This window comes from Homo sapiens, chromosome 16, assembly GCF_000001405.40.
Source record: "Homo sapiens chromosome 16, GRCh38.p14 Primary Assembly".
Taxonomy (NCBI): Eukaryota; Metazoa; Chordata; class Mammalia; order Primates; family Hominidae; genus Homo; species Homo sapiens.
In genome coordinates this window covers 87,760,706-87,780,623 of record NC_000016.10, presented here as the reverse complement: position 1 = coordinate 87,780,623, position 19,918 = coordinate 87,760,706, and the positions used below count along the sequence as shown (strand labels likewise).

Genomic DNA, 19,918 nt, shown 5'->3' with positions numbered 1-19,918 from the left:
GCAAACAGTCATTTACTGGTCTCCATAGACACTGAAGAGACACCAGGTGGCGGTGACTCTGCGGGTTGCAAATGTCCCCAGCGTCAGATTCATATTATTTCCCCTGACCCCCTCTGTCCTCTGTGGATGAGGAGAGCTGGGCAGAACACCTTGGTGGGGTCTCAGGGCTCCAGCGGTGACCACTGCTGGGTCGGACCAGCAAATGGAAAGGAGCCCACGTGTGCTCTCTGTGGCCCGGGCGGTAAAGAGGAGGTGGATCCCGGGGCTGTGGGTGAGAGCAGTGGGAATACCAGGTACTATTTCTTCCCTCCATTAATCCTCCCAAAAGATTGCTATGTCTGCACCAAAGTCCCTGCTTAAAACTTTGGAACAAGAATGTAGCTTCAACGGCCAGGCGTGGTGGTTCATGCCTGTAATCCCAATGCTTTGGGAGGCCAAGGCAGGCGGATCACCTGAGGTCTGGAGTTTGAGACCAGCCTGGCCAACATGGAGAAACCCTGTCTCAGGCCGGGCACGGTGGCTCACGCCTGTAATCCCAACACTTTGGGAGGCCGAGGCGGGTGGATCACCTGAGGTCGGGAGTTTGAGGCTAGCCTGACCAACGTGGAGAAACCCCATCTCTACTAAAAATACAAAAAAATCAGCCAGATATGGTGGTGCATGCCTGTAGTCCCAGCTACTCGGGAGGCTGAGGCAGGAGAATCACTCGAACCCAGGAGGCAGAGGTTGTGGTGAGCCAAGATCATGCCATTGCACTCCAGCCTGGGCAACAAGAGTGAAACTGCGTCTCCAAAAAAAAAAAAAAAAAGAAAAAAGAAACCCTGTCTGTACTAAAAATACAAAATTAGCAGGGTGTGGTGGCGCATGCCTGTAATCCCAGCTACTTGGGAGGCTGAGGCAGGAGAATTGCTTGAACTTGGGAAGCAGAGGTTGCGGTGAGCCGAGGTCGTGGCATTGCATTCCAGCCTGGGCAACAAGAGTGAGACTCCCTCTCAAAAAAAAAAAAAAAAAAAGGAATGTAGCTTCTTGTACATTATTGACCTGGGGGTAGGGGTGAATTTGGGATTTCGGGACATTGCTTCAGAGGGCATCCTGACTCCCTCTCGGCCAGGTGAGACCTGGTGGCAGGGCCCCAGCGGCTGCCTGGGGACCAACCACCCGGCTGAGTGCCGGAGCAGCCAGCTCTGACGTCCGCGACCAGAAAGGACGCCAGATGCTTCTGTTGACGTTGACAAAGGGCTTTGCCAGGAGGCTCAGGCCCGCCTGCGGGCTGGTCCCCATCCTTCCTCTTAGACCCCGCGAGGGTGATGCAACCTTCGCATACTGCGGTTGCGAGGCTCCAAGGCCGCCTTCTGCGCGGGAGGAGTGACCCCTGGCGGCCGACGCAGACATTGCGGGCTTGGTGCTTGGACTCAACTTCTGAGCTGTGTTGCATCAGCCAACGGGCCCTAAGGAAGCTGAATAATGCCTCAGGCTTCCTGCCACCCTGCAGGCCGGGAAGTTGGCAGGTGTGGCGGGTGGGGTGAGGGGTCCGAGTCCCATGGCCTAGGACGTTCATTTCTCCGAGGCTCGGTCTCTCCTCTGGTGGGACCATGTCTCGAAGAGCCCCTGGCTTGGCTTCTGGAGCTGGCGGCCAGGTAGGAGCCCCCAGGAAAGCTCCATCGGCTGCTGCTGAGCCGAGCTCTCCTGAACCCGGCCTGCGCTGCCCCCAGCGCACCTGGACCACAGACCCAAGTGATGTGATATGAAGAGGGAATGAAACGCTGACAGGGAGCGCTGGCTCACGTCTGTGATCCCACCACTTTGGGGGGCCGAGGTGGGTGGGTCGCTTGAGCCCAGGAGTTTGTCACCAGCCTGAGCAGCATAATGAGACCCCATCTCTGTACAAAATATTACAAAATTAGCCGGGCGTAGTGGTACACGCCTGTGGTCCCAGGTACTTGGGACGCTGAGGCGGGAGGATTGCTTGAGCCCAGGAGACAGAGGCTGCACTGAGCCGAGATGGCACCACAGCACTCCAGCCGGGGAGACAGAGCGAGACCCTGTTCCGAAAGAGAGAGAGAGCGAGAGGGAGAGCGAGAGGGAGAGAGAAAGAGAGAGACAGAGGAAGAAGAAAGAAAGAAAGAGAGAGAGAGAGAGAGAGAAAGAAAGAAAGAAAGAAAGAAAGAAAGAAAGAAAGAAAGAAAGAAAGAAAGAGAAAGAAAGAAAGAAAGAAAGAAAGAAAGAGAAAGAAAGAAAGAGAGAGAACAGATTGCCACTTGCTACTTTTAACATACTATTACCAAGGAATGTATTGGCAGACCCGGACCATTTCTGACCCTTGACTCCTCCTGTCCAGGGCTGGGAGTGGAGAGTCAGAAATGGGGACCTGGTCAGGGCAAGGGGGCAGATGCTCGGCTCACGTCGTACCTGGTAATTTAGAAATGCAGCAAGTCTAGTCATGTAGATCTCTGGCTTTCTCTCTCGTTGCTTATTCTTTTATTATTATTAAATGAATGTTAATGTGGAAACGCCGTGTGCACGTGGGCAGAGCCAACCGTTCATGAGCAGTGTGCTTGTCGCCCCCTGCCGGCCGGCTGCTGCCCTGACCTGAATTATCCGCATCTCCGTCATGGTCCCCCAGAGCCACCAGGAAGATCAAGGAGCCAGGGCCACCCTCACGTTGCCTAGGCAACAGCATCCGTGATCAGACTGTAAGGCAACTGGGACCCATGCGTGCTCCCCGGGGGAGGCTGCAGGTTCACGTCGGTGTCCGGGTGAGTATGTCCCCTAACCATACTTCCTGGAAGGCGGGAGTTGGCTTCTAGGCACCCACCCGCTGTATCCCAACCTCTGCGCAGCACTGGCATCACGGGAGGTGCTGTTTTTGGATAAATCATGACTGACATGAAAAGATGCGCCACCTCCTGGCCGGCGTGTGGTGCTGTCCATGCTCTGGATTTTGGCCACAGCAACACCCGTCCAATGGCTTCTCATGGCTGTTAGAGTTTACATATCCCTGATAGCAGACGTTTGCGGATAAATGTCCATGACTTTTTTTTTTTTTTTTTTTTTGAGACGGAGTCCGCTCTGTCGCCCAGGCTGGAGTGCAGTGGCGCGATCTCGGCTCACTGCAAGCTCCGCCTCCCAGGTTCACGCCATTCTCCTGCCTCAGCCTCCGGAGTAGCTGGGACTACAGGCGCCTGCCACCACGCCCAGCTAATGTTTTTGTATTTTGTGGTAGAGACGTGGTTTCACCGTGTTAGCCAGGATGGTCTCGAGCTCCTGACCTCGTGATCCGCCCGCCTCCGCCTCCCAAAGTGCTGGGATTACAGGCATGAGCCACTGCACCCAGCCAAGAAATGTCCATGACTTATAAAGTCGTTAGTCAACAATTTCCCCATATCCAGGGAACACTTGAGGGACTGGGGTGCCAGGCACGTTTTGGGGGGCCCCACACAGAGTGTCTGGCAGCAGAGAGGGGAGCAGGAGGCCTCCACAACCTCTCAGTAATTCCACCTGCACCTTGCTTTTGCCTTGGGTCAGTTTCCAGCAGCTCCCTGGAAAAACCAAGTTTGTGTTTTTACTTTCAGTGTTGACCATGTTTCCAGGTCCCCAGCTACAGCAGTCCCCTCTGCTCCACCCCAGGCTACAGCAAAAAAAGAAAAAGAAAGAAACATAGGCAGATATGAGATATGAATCAGAGTGAGAGCCAACAGCAAATTCTTTTTTTTTTTTTTTTTTTTTTTTGAGACAGGGTTTTGCTCTTGTTGCCCAGGCTAGACTGCAATGAAGTGATCTTGGCTCACTGCAACCTCTGCCTCCCGGGTTTAAACAATTCTCCTGCCTCAGCCTCCCAAGTAGCTAGGATTACAGGCACCTGCCACCATGCCCGGCTAAGTTTTGTATTTTTAGTAGAGACGGGGTTTCACCATGTTGACCAGGCTGATCTCGAACTCCTGACCTCTGGTGATCCGCCCACCTTGGCCTCCCAAAGTGCTGAGATTACAGGTGTGAGCCATTGTGACTCGCTCTGACAGCAAATTCTTTTTTTTTTGAGACGGAGTCTGGCTCTGTCACCCAGGCTAGAGTGCAGTGGCGCAATCTTGGCTCACTGCAACCTCCGCCTCCTGGGTTCACGCCATTCTCCTGCCTCAGCCTCCCAAGTAGCTGGGACTACAGGCGCCCGCCACCACGCCCGGCTAATTTTTTGTACTTTTGGTAGAGATGGGGTTTCACCGTCTTAGCCAGGATGGTCTCGATCTCCTGACCTTGTGATCCACCCACCTCGGCCTCCCAAAGTGCTGGGATTACAGGCGTGTGCCACCGTGCCCGGCCTCTCCCCCCGCTTAAGAAGGTACTTTGTAATATTCTCCCCCTAACCTTGTGAATGTACTTTGTAATATTCTCCGAGCCCTTGAGAATGTACTTTGTACGCCTATCCCAAAAGGGTAAGAATTAATGATAATCCCACCACCCTTTGCTGACTCCTTTTTTGGACTCAGCCCGCCTGCACCCAGGTGAAATCAACAGCCTTGTTGCTCACACAAAGCCTGTTTGGTGGACTCTCTTCACACGGACGTTTGTGACACAGTGGTGTGATCTTGGCTCACTGCAACCTCCGCCTCCCACGTTCAAGCAATTATCCTGTCTCAGCCTCCTGAGTAGCTGGGATTACAGGCACACACCGCCATGCCTGGTTAATTTTTTGTATTTTAGTAGAGACGGGGTTTCACTGTGTTGCCCAGGCTGGTCTTGAACGCCTGAGCTCAGGCAATCCGCCCACCTTGGCCTCCTAAAGTGCTAGGATTACAGGCGTGAGCCACCGTGCCCAGCCTAATTGTTAGTATTTTTTAGTAAAGACGGGGTTTCGCCATGTTGGCCAGGCTGGATTTGAACTCCTGACTTCAGGTGATCTGCCTGCCTTGGCTTCCCAAAGTGTTGGGATTCCAGGTGTGAGCCACTGCGCCCAGCCTTCATTCACTGTTTATCAATCATTTATTTTATTTTATTTTATTTTTTAAGACGAAGTCTTGCTCTGTTGCCCAGGCTGGAGTGCAGTGTCGCAATCTTGGCTCACTGTAACCTCCATCTCCCGGATTCAAGCAATTCTCCTGCCTCAACCTCCCGAGTAGCTGGGATTACAGGCATGTGCCACTACACCTGGCTAATGTTTTTGTATTTTTAGTACAGATGGGGTTTCACCATATTGGGCAGGCTGGTCTTGAACTCCTGACCTTGTGATCTGCCCACCTCGGCCTCCCAAAGTGCTGGGATTACAGGCGTGAGCCACCGCGCCCAGCCCACTTATTAACATATAACAAACAGTCCAACATTTTTGTCCTGGGACATAAAGGTGAATAAGACAAGGCCAGAGGGAGATTAAAATCTCCTGGAAGAGAGCCACGGCACATGAATTATCATAAAACACTAAGTTTCTAGACTATTCTCACTACCATAAAAGGAAGGGCTGTTAGTAGGAACATCCTGACTTACTTGGAAATCAGATAATAGGATTGTTATTTCTGGCATGTCTTTAAAATAGTGGACAGCGGTGAACCAATGCTCCAGCCGAGCGTCCTAGTATAAACCTGGGCATGCTTCTTACAACATAGCAACCCTCAGGTTCTAGCGTAGATGTCTCTGCTGCATTTCACCTGCTCTGTGGTAATGTATCATTTACTAGTGTTGCCAAGAATAGGAGGAGGTGGTTAGCTCTGCGCTCAGAATGAAGGTTTCAGGACCACATTTCCGTGAAATGTAAACATCTGGCCTTCTCCAGATGGTTCATGATGACAGTCTGTGTAGGAACAATGAGAAAAAAAAGACCTTTTTTAGAATTAGGGGGTTTCAGTGCGAACTAGTTCCATGGCTAGACAGCCAGAATTTCAGGGGTTACCACTGTGAACCCTAAGCATACATTTTTTTTCTTCTTTTTTTTTTGAGACGGAGTCTCGTTCTGTCGCCCAGGCTGGAGTGCAGTGGCGTGATCTCGGCTCACTGCAAGCTCTGCCTCCTGGGTTCATGCGATTCTCCTGCCTCAGCCTCCCGAGTAGCTGGGATTACAGGCGCACACCACCACGCCCGGCTAATTTTTTGTGTATTTTTAGCAGAGAGGGGGTTTCACTATGTTAGCCAGACTGGTCTCGAACTCCTGACCTCGTGATCCGCCCGCCTCAGCCTCCCAAAGTGCTGAGATTACAGGCGTGAGCCACCGGCCTGGCTAAGCATACACTGTTGACTATGGGATTATCAGGCTGGAAAACAGCTCGTTCCTGGGTTAAGAAGCCAGATGCTCAAAACATTGACAGTATAGGATTTTAAAAATCTACTTACTTTGAGAATCATCAGCGTCTTGAAGTATTTGGCCAAGGAGTTTTACTCTCAAAAACACATTTAGCAACAGGTTTGCCTGCTTTGATTGCTGTATTTCCTCTGGTCTGGCATCTCTGATGACTGCATGCAGGAAAGCAAGGTTTTGGTTATGTCTGGGTAGGGTCGGGGAACACGCCCACTGGGAGACAGACGCAAACCTGCAGTCTCACATGGGGAGCACACAAGGTCCATGGCTTCCTCAGAGCCAATCCCTGGCTCGCAGTTGTTGACATGATGTGAAAAGCTGTTTCTAGCCGGGCGCGGTGGCTCACACCTGTAATCCCAGCACTTCGGGAGGCCGAGGCGGGTGGATTATGAGGTCGGGAGTTCGAGACCAGTCTGGCCAACATAGTGAAACCCCGTCTCTACAAAAAATACAAAAAAATTAGCCGGGTGTGGTGGTGTGCGCCTGTAATCCCAGCTACTCGGGAGGCTGAGGTGGGAGAATTGCCTGAACCTGGGAGATGGAAGTTGCAGTGAGCCGAGACTGTGCCACTGCACTCCAGCCTGGGCGACAGTGCGAGACTCCGTCTCAAAAATAAATAAATAAAAAAAAATAAATAAATAATGCTGTTTTCTAGTTTGCAGTTAGCATTTCCAGCATAGCTTCTATCTTCTGTTCCATTTTCTGTGCTATTTTCTAAGTTTTGGTAGTTTCTTCTTCCCTATCTTTGCATCAGGTATCTTACAGAATGTTCTTAATCTTCACGTGCTTCTTCTGAGATCAGTGATAAAGAAGACACGGATACAGCAAGAAGGAAGGAGGCCCTGTGCACGACACTAAGATGAGTGACGCCACAGCACGGACCTTTGCTCAAGATCCGTCAGCAGGAAATACCCCCCAAGTGCCGAGAGTGCTGGCATGCAGCAGAGAAGGCTGTAAGTGACTGTGAGGTTTCCTTCATTATACTCATCTGCATTTTCCAAATTTTGAAAATGAGTATATATTAATTACACACTAAAAAACATCATTTACATCTGTAATCCCAGCACTTTGGGAGGCCAAGGTGGGCGGGCGGATCACTTGAGGTCAGGAGTTCGAGACCAGCCTGGCCAACATGGTAAAACCTTGTCTTTACTGAAAATACAAAAAAATAGCCAGGCGTGGTGGTGGGCGCCTGTAGTCCCAGCTACTCAGGAGGCTGAGGCATGAGAATTGCTTGAACCAGGGAGGTGGAGGTTGCAGTGAGCCGAGATCACACCACTGCACTCCAGCCTGGTGATAGGGTGAGACTTCATCTCAAAACAACAATAACAACAACAATAACAGACTTCATTTACCTGGGTGTGATGCTTCACGCCTGTAATCCCAGTGCTTTGGGAGGCCGAGGCAGACAGATCACTTGAGGTCAGGAATTCAAGACCAGTCTGGCCAACATGGTGAAACCCTGTCTCTACTAAAAAAACAAAAATTAGTTGAGCGTGGTGGTGCAGATCTGTAATCCCAGCTACTTGGAAGGCTGAGGCAGGAGGATTGCTTGAACCCAGGAGGCAGAGGTTGCAGTGAGCCAAGATCATGCTGCTGGCACTCCAGCCGGGGCTACAGAGCAAGACTCCGTCTCAGAAAAACCTCCCAAAAACCCACCATTTAAAAACGAAGCAATGCTGCCTTTTAAGGAATATGGTAGACACAAATAACATCAGAAAGGCATCCGAAAGCTAATAAGGAATTACCAAGTCAGACCTTAATGGAAAGTAGCAACAAAAACAGGCCACTGGGCTCTGAGACAGCTTTTAGTTTCACGCATGAGCCGATCTTGCCATACTTACCTTTGGTTTTGACAGCCTCCAAGGGCAAGAAAAACATAATCAAATCCAAGGGTGTCCAAGGTGGGATCTAAGAGAGAACTCCCCAGATTAAGCCAAGATTTCAAGAGTTCTGCCCCAAAAGGGTAAGATTGAAGCAGGCCTCACCCTACCCCCATGACCTAAGGAACCACAGAAATCAGCTCAATGCTATGGGAGACGATCTCACAGCCTGGCCAATTTTTATATTTTTAGTAGTGATGGGGTTTTGCCATGTTGGCCAGGCTGGTCTTGAACTCCTGACCTCAGGTGATCTACTCACTTCAGACTTCCAAAGTGCTGGGATTACAGGTGGGAGCCACTGTCCCTGGCTGTAGGATTCCATTTTGTAAAACCCTAGAAAAATGGAAACTAATCAAGAGTTTCTTTTTATTTTATTTATTTATTTATTTATTTATTTATTTATTTGAGCCTGAGTCTCGCTCTGTCACCCAGGTGATCTCGGTGCGATCTCAGCTCACTGCAACTTCCATCTCGCGGGTTCAAGTGATTCTCCTGCCTCAGCCTCCCGAGTAGCTGGGATTACAGGTGTGTGCCACCACGCCCAGCTAATTTTTGTGTTTGTAGTAGAGACGGGTTTCACCATATTGGCAAGGCTTGTCTTGAACTCCTGACCTCAAATGATCTGCCCACCTTGGCCTCCCAAGGTGCTAGGATTACAGGTGTGAGCCATCATGCCCAGCCACATTTCTTTTTTTTTTTTTTTTTTTTTTTTTTGAGACGGAGTCTCACTCTGTTGCCCAGGTTGGAGTGCAGTGGCACAGTCTTGGCTCACTACAACCTCTGCCTCCCAGGTTCAAGCAGTTCTCCTGCCTCAGCCTCCCGAGTAGCTGGGATTACAGGCATATGTCACCACGTCCAGCTAACTTTTGTATTTTTAGTAGAGATGGGGTTTCACCATGTTGGCCAGGCTGGTCTTGAACTCCTGATCTCAAATGATCCACCCACCTTGACCTCCCAAAGTGTTGGAATTACAGGCATGAGCCACCGCGCCTGGCCACATTTCTCTTTTTAATAAAACCCCCAACCTTCTCTTTGTTCTTTGGACATATTGAAGTTCACCCCAGCCTGTGGATATGCCTCAAAATATAATTCTATGATTCCCATACAAGGTGTTTTGTTTAGAGATCCATCTCTATATTTTTATTTGACCTTGATAGTATTTTTTTTTTTTTTGAGATGGAATCTCACTCTGTCGCCCAGGCTGGGGTGCAGTGGCGCGATCTCAGCTCACTGCAAGCTCTGCCTCCCGGGTTCACGCCATTCTCCTGCCTCAGCCTCTCCAGCAGCTGGGACTACAGGCACATGCCGCCACGCCTGGCTAATTTTTCTATTTTTAGTAGAGACGGGGTTTCACTGTGTTAGCGAGGATGGTCTCGATCTCCCGATCTTGTGATCTGCCTGCCTCGGCCTCCCAAAGTGCTGAGATTACAGGCGTGAGCCACTGTGCCTGGCCAGACCTTGATAGTATTAATACATATTAAATTCTACACTTTAATTTATTGTTTTAATTAGAAGAACATCACTTATTGCTTTATGCTATGACACTGGAAAATCGGCCGGGCGCGGTGGCTCATATCTGTAATCCCAGCACTTTGGGAGGCTGAGGCGGGCGGATCACGAGGTCAGGAGATCGAGACCATCCTGGCTAACATGGTGAAACCCCGTCTCTACTAAAAATACAAAAAAAAATTAGCCGGGCATGGTGGCGGGCGCCTGTTTTCCCAACTACTTGGAAGGCTGAGGCAGGAGAATGGCGTGAACCCGGAAGGCGGAGCTTGCAGTGAGCCGAGATAGCGCCACTGCCCTCCAGCCTGGGAGACAGAGTGAGACTCCGTCTCAAAAAAAAAAAAAAAAAAAAAGAAAAAAAATTGGACAATCTTGATGAAGAAGACGGGACACATGTTTCCAGGTTTCCAATTTGGAACTTCAAGGCTGACAAATTCCATACTCATTTCTCATCATCCCTTGAGGCCCCTCCTGAGTGGGTGGCCCTTCTCATAGGGCAGGGGACAACTGTAGATCCCTCTTGCTCCTCAGCAGCCACCTGCCTCACCCCAGCCACCTGTGCACACTTGAAATATATACAGTTTATTGTATATAAGCAACACATAGATAAATCCCTGATTATAGTTGGAAATCTTATTATTCCTCTCTCTGGAATGGATTCAAAGAAGTGGGAAAAATTCAGTAAGGCCAGCATGGTGGCTCACGCCTGTAATCCCAGCACTTTAAGATGCCCAGTCGGGTGGATCACGTGAGGTCAGGAGTTTGAGACCAGCTTGGCCTACATGGTGAAACCTTGTCTCTATAAAACATACAAAAATTAGCTGGGTGTGGTGGCAGATGCCTGTAATCCCAGCTACCTGGGAGGCTGAGGTAAGAACTTGGGAGCCGGAGGTTGCAGTGAGCTGAGATAGTGCCACTGCACTCCAGCCTGGGTGACAGAGTGAGACTCTGTCTCAAAAAAAAAAAAAAAAAGCCTTTGTGTTTTGCTTTTTTACTTCCCTAAGCTTTATTTTATTTATTTTTAATTTTTATTTTTTGAGACGGAGTCTCACTCTGTCGCCCAGGCTGGAGTGCAATGGTGCGATCTTGGCTCACTGCAAGCTCCGCCTCCCGGGTTCACGCCATTCTCCTGCCTCAGCTTCCCGAGTACTGGGACTACAGGCGCCCGCCACCGCGCCCGGCTAATTTTTTGTATTTTTAGTAGAGACGGGGTTTCACCGTGTTAGCCAGGATGGTCTTGATCTCCTGACCTCGTGATCCACCCGCCTCAGCCTCCCAAAGTGCTGGGATTACAGGCGTGAGCCACCGCGCCTGGCCTCTTTCCTAAGCTTTATTATTGTTTCACTTGATTTTCCCAAGAATCCTGTGTAATAGGTGAACTAGTTCATTATTCCCACTTTCCTGCTGGGAAACGTGCAAAGAGCCACGTAATCCATACCACACTTGGCAGAACCTTCCAATCACATTGATTACTTGTGGTGAGGATAATTAGAAGTTAGCATATTTTCCTAAAATTTAATCTATTATTAATAGATTTTTTTTCTCTTCTGCACTTCAACTTGAAGGCAGCAGAGGGCGCCTGATCACACAAAAGATACACTCTAAAAGTCAGCGACAGATTAAAGATAATCCATGAAAGTTTCAACAATGTGAATTTTACTAAAATAGAGCCTTGTACTTAATCTTTTGACTATTTTAGGATCTGATCTCATTTTAGATGTTCTATTCCGTCTTTCTCAGTATGAGAATTTCAGTCTCACGTAAATCACCATGACACCTATAATCCAAGAGCCTTCTAATTTAGCTTCAAGCTTCTTTCAGATAATAAAAGTATTAAACCCCGCATCCACCAGATCCTCCTAAATCTTCAATAGGTCATACGCTCTCCCTGTCTCCGGCCTGAAGTGGGCACCACTGTAATGTACTGCAGCCAGATGTGCTGTGAATGAAGAGCCTTTTGGCTTCAAGTGCATTGCCTCAGGTTTACCCAGGATTTTTAGAAAAATATTAAAGGATTACGTATGTTCTTAAAGTCATAGTACACTAGAGGGGACAGAACTATTTCCCGAGGGCAATAGTGAGGATTTAGCCTTTTGTAGTTCGTCATGGAAGATAAACATGCCTGGATGCCCAGGCTGGGTTTCTGTGAAATTCTCCAGCTCCTTTCTGCTCAGCTCCTAACCGGTTTTTTTTTTCTACCACCACATAGGTTTCCTACAAGCAGTGCTGGAGACCATGGTGGTCTTCAACCAGTGCTATCTTTTCTTCTCATTATTTCCCCAAATTTCATTTTTCTTCTTAAAGAGCTAGGTTTATGGATAAGGCTTGGAGTGGGTTGGAAAATCATTCCTCCTCAGCTGCTCAGTGACTAGTCATTGATTGGATCTAAGGTAACTTTTTTTGTTTTTGAGACAGAGTTTCGCTTTTGCTGCCCAGGCTGGAGTGCAATGGCGTGATCTGGGCTCACCGCAACCTTTCCTCCCGGTTCAAGCAATTCTCCTACCTCAGCCTCCTGAGTAGCTGGGATTAAAGGTGCACACCACCACACCTGGCTAATTTTTTTGTATTTTTGTAGAGACGGGGTTTCACCATGTTGGCCAGGCTGGTTTTGAACTCCTGACCTCGTGATCTGCCCACCTTGGCCTCCCAAAGTGCTGGGATTACAGATGTGAGCCACTACGCCTGGCCGAGTTAACTTCTTCTTTTTTTTTTTTTTTTTGAGACGGAGTCTAGCTCTGTTGCCCAGGCTGGAGTGCAGTGGTTCAGTCTCGGCTCACTGCAACCTCTGTCTCCCAGGCTCAAGCCATTCTCCTGACTCAGCCTCCCGAGTAGCTGGGATTACAGGTGCGCACCACCATGCCTGTCTAATTTTGTATTTTTAGTGGAGATGGGGTTTCACCATGTTGATCAGGCTGGTCTCAAACTCCTGACCTCAGGTGATCTGCCTGCCTCTGCCTCTCAAAGTGCTAGGATTACAGGCGTGAGCCATCACACCTGGCTGGATCTAAGATAACATCTTTTTTTTTTTTTTTTTTTGAGATGGAGTCTTGCTTTGTCGCCCAGGCTGGAGTGCAGTGGTGCAATCTCCGCTCACTGCAACCTCTGCCGCCTAGGTTCAAATGATTCTTTTGCCTCAGCCTCCTGAATAGTTGGGACTACAGGTGGGTGCCACCACACCTGGCTAATTTTTTTTTTTTTTTTTGTATTTTTAGTGGAGACAGGGTTTCACCATATTGGCCAGGCTGGTCTTGAACTCCTGACCTCGTGATCAGCCCGCTTCAGCCTCCCAAAGTGCTGGGATTACAGGAATGAACCACCACGCCTGGCCTAAGAGAACTTTTAAAGGCTGACTCACACACAAAGTAATAAACTAGATTATTTCCTGATTTATGCTTTCCCTTTGCCAAATTTTGGCTTGTCCTTGTCCTTAATTTGCCTTATTCCTTGATTACCCATCCAAAGATGACATCTTCTAAGTAGTGATAAGCATTTTTACTCTGCTCTTTCAAATCATAACATTCCATGCACTGCAGATGATTTTGCCATTTCTTACGTAATTTGAGGCAAATCCTAGAGTACAATTTCCTAGCAGGCATTTGGATATTACCTATCTTTATTTCTCAGGCTCCACAAATTGAGTACCCTTTCAGGGTGCTATCATTAGCTCTAGCCTACCTATGAAGAAACAAAAGTCCTCCATGTTAGGACATTTGAGGACATGCCCTTAGTACCTAACAGTGTCTGGCACATTTTAAATGGGAAGGTGGAAGGGCCCCCCCATTTTTTTTTTTTTTTAAGATGGAATTTTGCTCTTTTGCCCAAGCTGGAGTGAAGTGGCTTGATCTCAGCTCATTGCAACCTCTGCCCCCTGGGTTCAAGCAATTCTCCTGCCTCAGCCTCCCAAGTAGCTGGGATTACAGGTGCCCACCACCACGCCTGGCTAATTTTTGTAGTTTTAGTAGAGACGGGGGTTTCACCATGTTGGCTAGGCTGGTCTCGAACTCCTGACCTCGTGATCCACTCACCTCGGCCTCCCAAAGTGCTGGGATTACAGGCGTGAGCCACCGCGCCCGGCAGGGACTGTCTTACTCAGGATCTGCAAAATCTTATAACTGTGTGAAATTTTTTTTCTGGGAAAAAAGCACTCATTTGTTTGGTCTGAGGGGAAAAAATGGGGCTAGCCCAAGAGTCGCCCACTTAGTTCTACCCAGGGCGAAGCAATGTGCCTTAACGGGGGGCACGTGCACCCCGGAAAACTCAAGAGAAAATGAGCCGGGCGTGGTGGGCTCCTGTGGTCCCAGCTACTCCAGAGGCGGAGGTTACAGCGAGCCGAGATCGCGCTACCGCACTCCAGCCTGGGCGACAGAGCAAGACCCTGCCTCAAAAAAATAGAAATAAAAAATAAAACTCAGAGGGCACGTCTCCTAGGACACGGGGACAGGCTAGGTGGGGGCACAGGGCGTGAGAATTGGCGAGCATGGCCGGGGTATGTCAGGCCGGGGCTGCCATCTTTTTTGTTTTTTGAAACAGGATCTCGCTCTGTCGCCCAGGTTGGGGTGCAGGGGCGCATTGCTGCCTGGAACTCCTTGACTCAAGCGATCTTCCCGCCTCACCTTCCCGAGGAGCTAGGACCACTGGGCGCGAGACACCACGCCCGGTTAATTTTTTTTTTTTTCTTCTGTAGCGACTGGGGGTGGGGGGTGGTGTCTCGCTTTGTTGCCCAGGCTGATCTCGAACTCCTGGACTCAAGCGATCCGCCCGCCAAGGCCTCCCAAAGCTCCAGGGTTACAGGCATGAGCCACCGCGCCCAGCCCGGGGCCGGTCATCTTTTCCGGGGCCTTATGCAGAGTCCGAGGCCCCCGAGCCCGCTGCCGAAGACGGAGCTCCAAGACCGAACCTCGTAAAGGGCCCAGCCGCACCTCTACCCGGAAGCGGCTCGAACTCGGGGCCGGAAGTGACTCCATTTCTGTGCGCCGAGCTCCGCCCCACGAGCACCTGTTTCCGAGCGGAGAGCGCGGGCCGTTTTCTTTCCTGGTGTCCCGTCGCGGCTTGGGACCCGGCAAGATGGGCAAGAAGGGCAAGAAGGAGAAGAAGGGCCGCGGCGCGGAGAAGACGGCCGCCAAGATGGAGAAGAAGGTGTCTAAGCGCTCGCGGAAGGAGGAGGTGAGCGGGTCAGACCGGGCTTAGCGGCCCGACGTCGCGGCCGTGCAGCCTCGGCCGACTCCCTGCGCCCCCCGGGGTTACGGGTCGGCCGTGGGAGCCGCGCCGGCCCTGCGGGAGAGCTGGAGGCCGTAGGAACTGCCCCGGCGCCGCGTCCGGGCAGCCCAGACGGGGCCCGCCCCCTCCTGAGTCTCCACGTGTGTCTGTCCGCTTCTCGGAGCTGCCCCCTTTAACGTGCTTGCTTTTCTTAGTGTGGTGTCACGGGCGTTTTTCTGCGTTTCCTCCCCCTCCTCCCTTCTCCCTCCACCCTCCCTCTGAAGGGAGGCTGGGTGGTGAGAAGAGGGAGGGGTTTGGCACAGGAAGACCTGAGGTTGAGCCGGGGGCTGCCTCTGCATGATGTGTGGTCTGGGAGTAAGACTCTTAACTTTTCTGAACCTTACTTTTCTTTCAAAAGAGGGCAAATAATCATCACAGCAGCCCTGAGCAGTGAGCAGCAGATGGTTAAGTGAAGAAGGCACTGGAGCCACGGGGTATCCCGTAGCAGCTGATGGCGGCCATCACGGTTGTCTCCTTCCCTCTGGTCCTCAGCCCGGGGTCTGCAGGAGGATCCGTCCTGACCTTGGGGTTGAGTGTTCTGCGGCTGCTGCTCATGGATTCCCTAACCGGGGCCAGTTTTATGGCCTGCCGTGCGCCAGGCACAGCTCCCTGGGCTTTACTCCTCACGAGCAGGTCAGTTCCGTAGCACTGGTATTCCCATTTGACAGGAAGACCAACAGGTGAACCATGAAGTGGTATGGAACTGGGATGTGACCAGATGTCCTGAATCAGGAGCTCTTGACCACAGTCCTTTGTCCCTTTTCTTCCTAAGTCATTGATCTCTCCATGTCCTCATCTCTTAAATAATGGAGTTGGACTTTTCCCTCACACTCCTCTTAGGCTCTTTCTTTTTTTTTTTTTTTTTTTTGACAGAGTCTTGCTCTGTCACCTAGGCTGGGCTGCAGTGGCATGACCTGCTGGCTAGGGTTGTGGCACAGGAAGTCAGTTCATCTGTGTGGTATCTTCAGAATGGTGCTTGGCAGAAAGTAAGCACTCAGTAACCAGCTGTTAGCTGCTTTCTGCTTTTTTTTTTTTTTTTTTTTTTTTTTTTTGAAGGAGTTTCACTCTTGTTGCCCAGGGTGGAGTGCAATGGTGCGATCTCAGCTCACTGCACCTCCGCCTCCCAGGTTCAAGTGGTTCTCCTGCCTCAGCCTCCCAAGTAGCTGAGATTACAGGCATGCACCACCACACCCAGCTAATTTTGTATTTTTAATAGAGACCGGGTTTCACCGTTTTGGTCAGGCTGGTCTGGGACTCCTGACCTCAGGTGATGCGCTCGCCTCGGCCTCCCAAAGTGCTGGGATTACAAGCCGTAAGCCACCTTGCCCCGCCAGTTACCTGTCATTTTTACTCATCTCCATGTCTCCCTCCAGTACCCAATACTAAGGTGATTGTAACAGTAGCTTCCCTTAAGAGAGAGAGCCTGTCAGGCCTGGGGTTTGTATGTTATCTGAATGAACCCTCAAAACAAACTTTTAAAATAAGTGGGCGTCTGATTAGGCTAGACCCACAGAGGATCATCTCTTTCTTAAATTCAGCTGTGTCTGTAATACAACCTAATCACAAGAGTGGTATCCCATTCTTTCACAGTCCTGGCAATTATTGGGGGAAGGATTGGGGACAGTTTGGAATTCTGCTCCCACAGAACTCATGTATCAGGTCACCTGGTTCGCACCTTCACTTAGTCCTGGCCTCTGCCTGTCTTTCCAGCTGTCTCCCTGGGCTCACTCCAGCCACAGTGTCTTTTAGTGTCTCAAACATGGCAAGTTGTGTCTGTGGTCTTACCTATACCCCAACCATACTCCGTCTGAGTCGTCTTTTCAGCATTCAGCTTATTGTCACTTTGGAGAGGCTGTCACTGGCTAGGCCACTGGCGTCACCCAGACCCTACCACCTTGCTCTCCTTCAGTCACCCAATGATGATGAGGTTCAGCCAAGGTCAAAGACCGCTCTAAGTAGCAGCAGCAAAGCTTTCGCGGTACATAGACGTTAGTATTTGAACTGTTTGTTTAACCTCGTTGAGCAAAAAAAGCAAGTTGAAAGAATATACAGTATGATACCATTTAATGACATTTTATTTTTTATTTTTTTTGAGATGGAGTCCTGCTCTGTCACCCAGAGCAAGTGTCGCAGTGGCATGATCTCAGCTCATTGCAACCTCTGCCTCCCAGGCTCAAGCAATTCTCCTGCCTCAGCCTCCCGAGTAGTTTGGGACTACAGGTGTGCGCCACTGTGGCCGGCTAATTTTTGTATTTTTTAGTAGAGACGGGGTTTCACCGTGTTGGTCAGGCTGGTCTCGAACTCCTGACCTCAAATTATCCACCTGCCTCGGCCTCCCAAAGTTCGGGGATTACAGGCGTGAGCCACTGTGCCCAGTCCATTTAATGACATTTAAAAATGTAAAACAATACTATATGTTGCTTAGGGATACACATGTGTAATAAAAGATTGAAGAAAAGCGTGAGACTAATAAGCATCGAGTTCCAGATAGTGGTTACTTGAGGGAATGTGTGGGTGGGTACATGTGGGTGACACTTTATTCCTTACCCTGGGAACCGTATACAGGAATGTCTTGGATAAAGTTCTGTTAACTTGTGTGTTTTAAATATTGCATCGTTTAGAATACTAAGCAGTGTACCCTGCTGACATTCACCCTGAGATGAGAGGTAGACTGAAGGAAGCACGAGGTGGGGCGTGGCAGGCTGAGGGAACCTGGCGTTTTCATTGAAGGAACGGAGAGGACGCTGGTGTATCTTGGAGAGTGAGGCCAGGTGGGAGGTGAGGTTGGAGAGGTGGGTGTGGGGGAGGGAAGATGGTCTGCAGGTGTGTGTAGTTGCAAGCAGGACACTGAAGGCTAGAAGGAACTTGAAATGCCAGGCTCGGGTGTGCATGGGAGTGTCTCGTAAATGTTGGGAAATGGGCACTGGGACTGAGGCGGGAACACTGGGTTCCAGTGCTGCCCTCTGTGCTGGCACATCAGTACCTTGAGTCACTCTCGATGGTAGTAAAAGTTGAGACCTTCTTACTTGGATAGACTGCAGCTGGTATTTGCTGAGCTCTTGCTGTGCAGGCAGTGTTTTAACTAGACACAAGTCTTGCTCTGGTGGAGCTCATATTTTATTATTTTGTTGGGGTGGAGGAAACAAATAAGCAAGAGAAATATATCAGACACTGCTCAGCAGACAGGAAGGCAGGCAGGCGTGACGGCCCAGGCCTGGGCTCTGAGAGGTGCTGAGGGTGTCTGCAGTGAAGTCACGATGGGCTTGTCTAAGTGGAAGTTCTTGTCAGACACTGCTCTGCAGACAGGAAGGCTGGCAGGTGCGACGGCTCGAGTCTGGGTTATGAGAGGTGCTGAGAGTGTCTGCAGTGAAGTCACAACGGGCTTGTCTAAGTGGAAGGTCTTGCAGAGGGAGCGTTAAGGGTGTGGAGATAATACTTGGTGCACACATCTACCCTTTAAGCAGACTGCCTTTGAGGTCAAGCTCTGGTTACTTTCGAATGTGTCAAACTCTGCATTTCAAACAGGCACAGTATGTTGCAATTCACAGATGTGACTGAGCCCAGTCGAATCACACTGATTGGAGGAAAGCTGAGCGGGCTGTGGCTCCGCGGCGGGTCCTGGGAATAAGTCTCACGTGTGCCTGCTTGCTTGCCCTAGGAAGACCTGGAAGCGCTCATAGCCCATTTCCAGACACTCGATGCCAAGAGGACTCAGACTGTGGAACTTCCGTGCCCCCCACCCTCACCAAGGTGAGCAAGTAGCATTTTTCATATTGTATGTTTCCTTTTCTTCTATACATTGAAAAACTGCTTTAAATAGCACCAGGTTTCGTAAATGACCAGGCACTTGGGACATTTTCATTATTAAAACCTGTTCTTGGTCACTTTCTGCTGAAGAACTGGAATGAGGCTGTAAGCTTTACTGTCATGGAACCTGGGAGCAGGGCCTACAGCACAGCTGCTGCCTCTGGGCTCCGGTGCCAACTTTGAAAGCTCCTCCACTGGTCGTGACGTGGGGATGAAAGTTTTGCCCCAGTGAGCTTTTCTTTGGTTCTTAAGGTATTTTAAAAGTGCGTACTGTAGGCAGAAAGCTGAAAATCACTGTGGCCTTTTGATGTGTTTGTAATGCTTTCAAATTCTCATGTGAAAAGTTTGTTAAACATAAATTGAGTATAAGCCATTTTAAATGGATTTGAAAATTACGTAAAAACGTTCCGAGTCTGTAGGATTTCATACACGTGTGGGATGAGCTGGAATGAGAAATGGTTTATTTCCCTCAGTAGGAGATTAACCTTGCAGGATTTACCCTTTTAATAAAGCTGCTGCAGGCCCTAGTGGAAGCCGGGGTTCAGCCCATCGGGAGTGGAGGGTCACGATTGTGCTGCGTTTGCATTAATGAGGCGCATGTGATGGCTCTGGTGCCCGAGTCCCACCCACCGGCCTCAGAGGCAGGGTTATCATCACCTGCCCAGAGGTGGGAGGAGCACGGTGATCAGCCCCTGAGCAGAGTGAGTGGTGTTGGAGCCACTCCCAAAGGCCAGTGTCCTTCCTGGTTTTCACTTCATGTCCATTAGGATTTTAGTTTTCTTTTTCCCTTTAGTTTGCATGTTGCCCTCAGGGCCAAATGTAAGTTACATGTGGTAAATGTACTTTTTTTTTTCTTTTTGAGATGGAGTCTCACTCTGTCATCCAGGCTGGAGTACAGTGGCATGATCTTGGCTCACTACAACCTCTGCCTCCCAGGTTCAAGTGATTCTCCTGCCTCAGCCTTCCAAGTAGCTGGGATTACAGGCGCCAGCCACCATACCCAGCTAATTTTTGTATTTTTAGTAGAGATGGGGTTTTGCCATGTTGGCCTGGCTGGTCGTGAACTCCTGACCTTAGGTAATCCACCTGCCTTGGCCTCCCAAAGTGCTGGGATTACAGGCGTGAGTCGCTGTGCCTGGCTGTAAATGTACATTTTCATTTGAGTTATTGGAGCAAATAAATCCTT

General features: G+C 49.9%; 1 protein-coding gene and 2 long non-coding RNA genes across 11 annotated transcripts in view, besides 10 other annotated features; 2 read left to right on the top strand and 1 right to left on the bottom strand.

The window, feature by feature from the left end:
- Positions 26-891: an enhancer, noted in NCBI's record as "H3K27ac-H3K4me1 hESC enhancer chr16:87813339-87814204 (GRCh37/hg19 assembly coordinates)". NCBI's record gives its function as "activates a minimal SCP1, AML or CMV promoter by ChIP-STARR-seq in primed H9 embryonic stem cells {active_cell/tissue: H9 hESC(primed)}" and the evidence as "EXISTENCE:reporter gene assay evidence [ECO:0000049][PMID:30033119]".
- Positions 892-1,757: an enhancer, noted in NCBI's record as "NANOG-H3K27ac-H3K4me1 hESC enhancer chr16:87812473-87813338 (GRCh37/hg19 assembly coordinates)". NCBI's record gives its function as "activates a minimal SCP1, AML or CMV promoter by ChIP-STARR-seq in naive and primed H9 embryonic stem cells {active_cell/tissue: H9 hESC(naive and primed)}" and the evidence as "EXISTENCE:reporter gene assay evidence [ECO:0000049][PMID:30033119]".
- Positions 1,022-1,111: an enhancer, noted in NCBI's record as "active region_11333". NCBI's record gives its function as "activates an Ori minimal core promoter by ATAC-STARR-seq in GM12878 lymphoblastoid cells {active_cell/tissue: GM12878}" and the evidence as "EXISTENCE:reporter gene assay evidence [ECO:0000049][PMID:35858748]".
- Positions 1,442-1,541: an enhancer, noted in NCBI's record as "active region_11332". NCBI's record gives its function as "activates an Ori minimal core promoter by ATAC-STARR-seq in GM12878 lymphoblastoid cells {active_cell/tissue: GM12878}" and the evidence as "EXISTENCE:reporter gene assay evidence [ECO:0000049][PMID:35858748]".
- Positions 1,476-14,293, top strand: LOC102724467 (uncharacterized). The gene is made up of 4 exons (NR_120309.1): positions 1,476-1,816; positions 2,624-2,756; positions 7,035-7,233; positions 14,200-14,293. It is a non-coding gene; the product is annotated as an uncharacterized LOC102724467 (long non-coding RNA).
- Positions 1,758-2,623: an enhancer, noted in NCBI's record as "NANOG-H3K27ac-H3K4me1 hESC enhancer chr16:87811607-87812472 (GRCh37/hg19 assembly coordinates)". NCBI's record gives its function as "activates a minimal SCP1, AML or CMV promoter by ChIP-STARR-seq in naive and primed H9 embryonic stem cells {active_cell/tissue: H9 hESC(naive and primed)}" and the evidence as "EXISTENCE:reporter gene assay evidence [ECO:0000049][PMID:30033119]".
- LOC105371399 (uncharacterized) lies at positions 4,959-14,583 on the bottom strand. The gene is made up of 3 exons (XR_933871.3): positions 14,283-14,583; positions 6,316-6,435; positions 4,959-5,779 (listed from the first exon to the last, which is right to left on the bottom strand). It is a non-coding gene; the product is annotated as an uncharacterized LOC105371399 (long non-coding RNA).
- Positions 7,454-7,659: a silencer, noted in NCBI's record as "fragment chr16:87806571-87806776 (GRCh37/hg19 assembly coordinates)". NCBI's record gives its function as "represses an EF-1alpha promoter that drives an FKBP-Casp9 reporter gene in an ReSE screen in K562 erythroleukemia cells {active_cell/tissue: K562}" and the evidence as "EXISTENCE:reporter gene assay evidence [ECO:0000049][PMID:32094911]".
- Positions 14,543-14,602: an enhancer, noted in NCBI's record as "active region_11331". NCBI's record gives its function as "activates an Ori minimal core promoter by ATAC-STARR-seq in GM12878 lymphoblastoid cells {active_cell/tissue: GM12878}" and the evidence as "EXISTENCE:reporter gene assay evidence [ECO:0000049][PMID:35858748]".
- KLHDC4 (kelch domain containing 4) overlaps positions 14,638-19,918 on the top strand; it is a 67,841-nt gene continuing 62,560 nt past the window's right edge. For 5 of the 9 annotated variants that reach the window (NR_147833.2, NM_001351938.2, NM_001184856.2 and 2 more), the window contains exons 1-2: positions 14,638-14,832; positions 18,584-18,675. Coding sequence is in view for 3 of the 9 variants with exons in the window: in NM_001184856.2 (NP_001171785.1) it covers positions 14,734-14,832; positions 18,584-18,675 (191 nt within the window). In the remaining 6 variants the exon portion in view is untranslated. Of the gene's footprint in view, positions 14,833-15,337; positions 15,559-18,583; positions 18,676-19,918 lie in introns of those variants that run through there. The other 4 variants (XM_047434252.1, NM_001184854.2, XM_047434253.1 and 1 more) reach the window with 4 other exon arrangements.
- Positions 14,683-14,742: an enhancer, noted in NCBI's record as "active region_11330". NCBI's record gives its function as "activates an Ori minimal core promoter by ATAC-STARR-seq in GM12878 lymphoblastoid cells {active_cell/tissue: GM12878}" and the evidence as "EXISTENCE:reporter gene assay evidence [ECO:0000049][PMID:35858748]".
- Positions 14,726-15,350: an enhancer, noted in NCBI's record as "H3K27ac-H3K4me1 hESC enhancer chr16:87798880-87799504 (GRCh37/hg19 assembly coordinates)". NCBI's record gives its function as "activates a minimal SCP1, AML or CMV promoter by ChIP-STARR-seq in naive H9 embryonic stem cells {active_cell/tissue: H9 hESC(naive)}" and the evidence as "EXISTENCE:reporter gene assay evidence [ECO:0000049][PMID:30033119]".
- Positions 18,183-18,252: an enhancer, noted in NCBI's record as "active region_11329". NCBI's record gives its function as "activates an Ori minimal core promoter by ATAC-STARR-seq in GM12878 lymphoblastoid cells {active_cell/tissue: GM12878}" and the evidence as "EXISTENCE:reporter gene assay evidence [ECO:0000049][PMID:35858748]".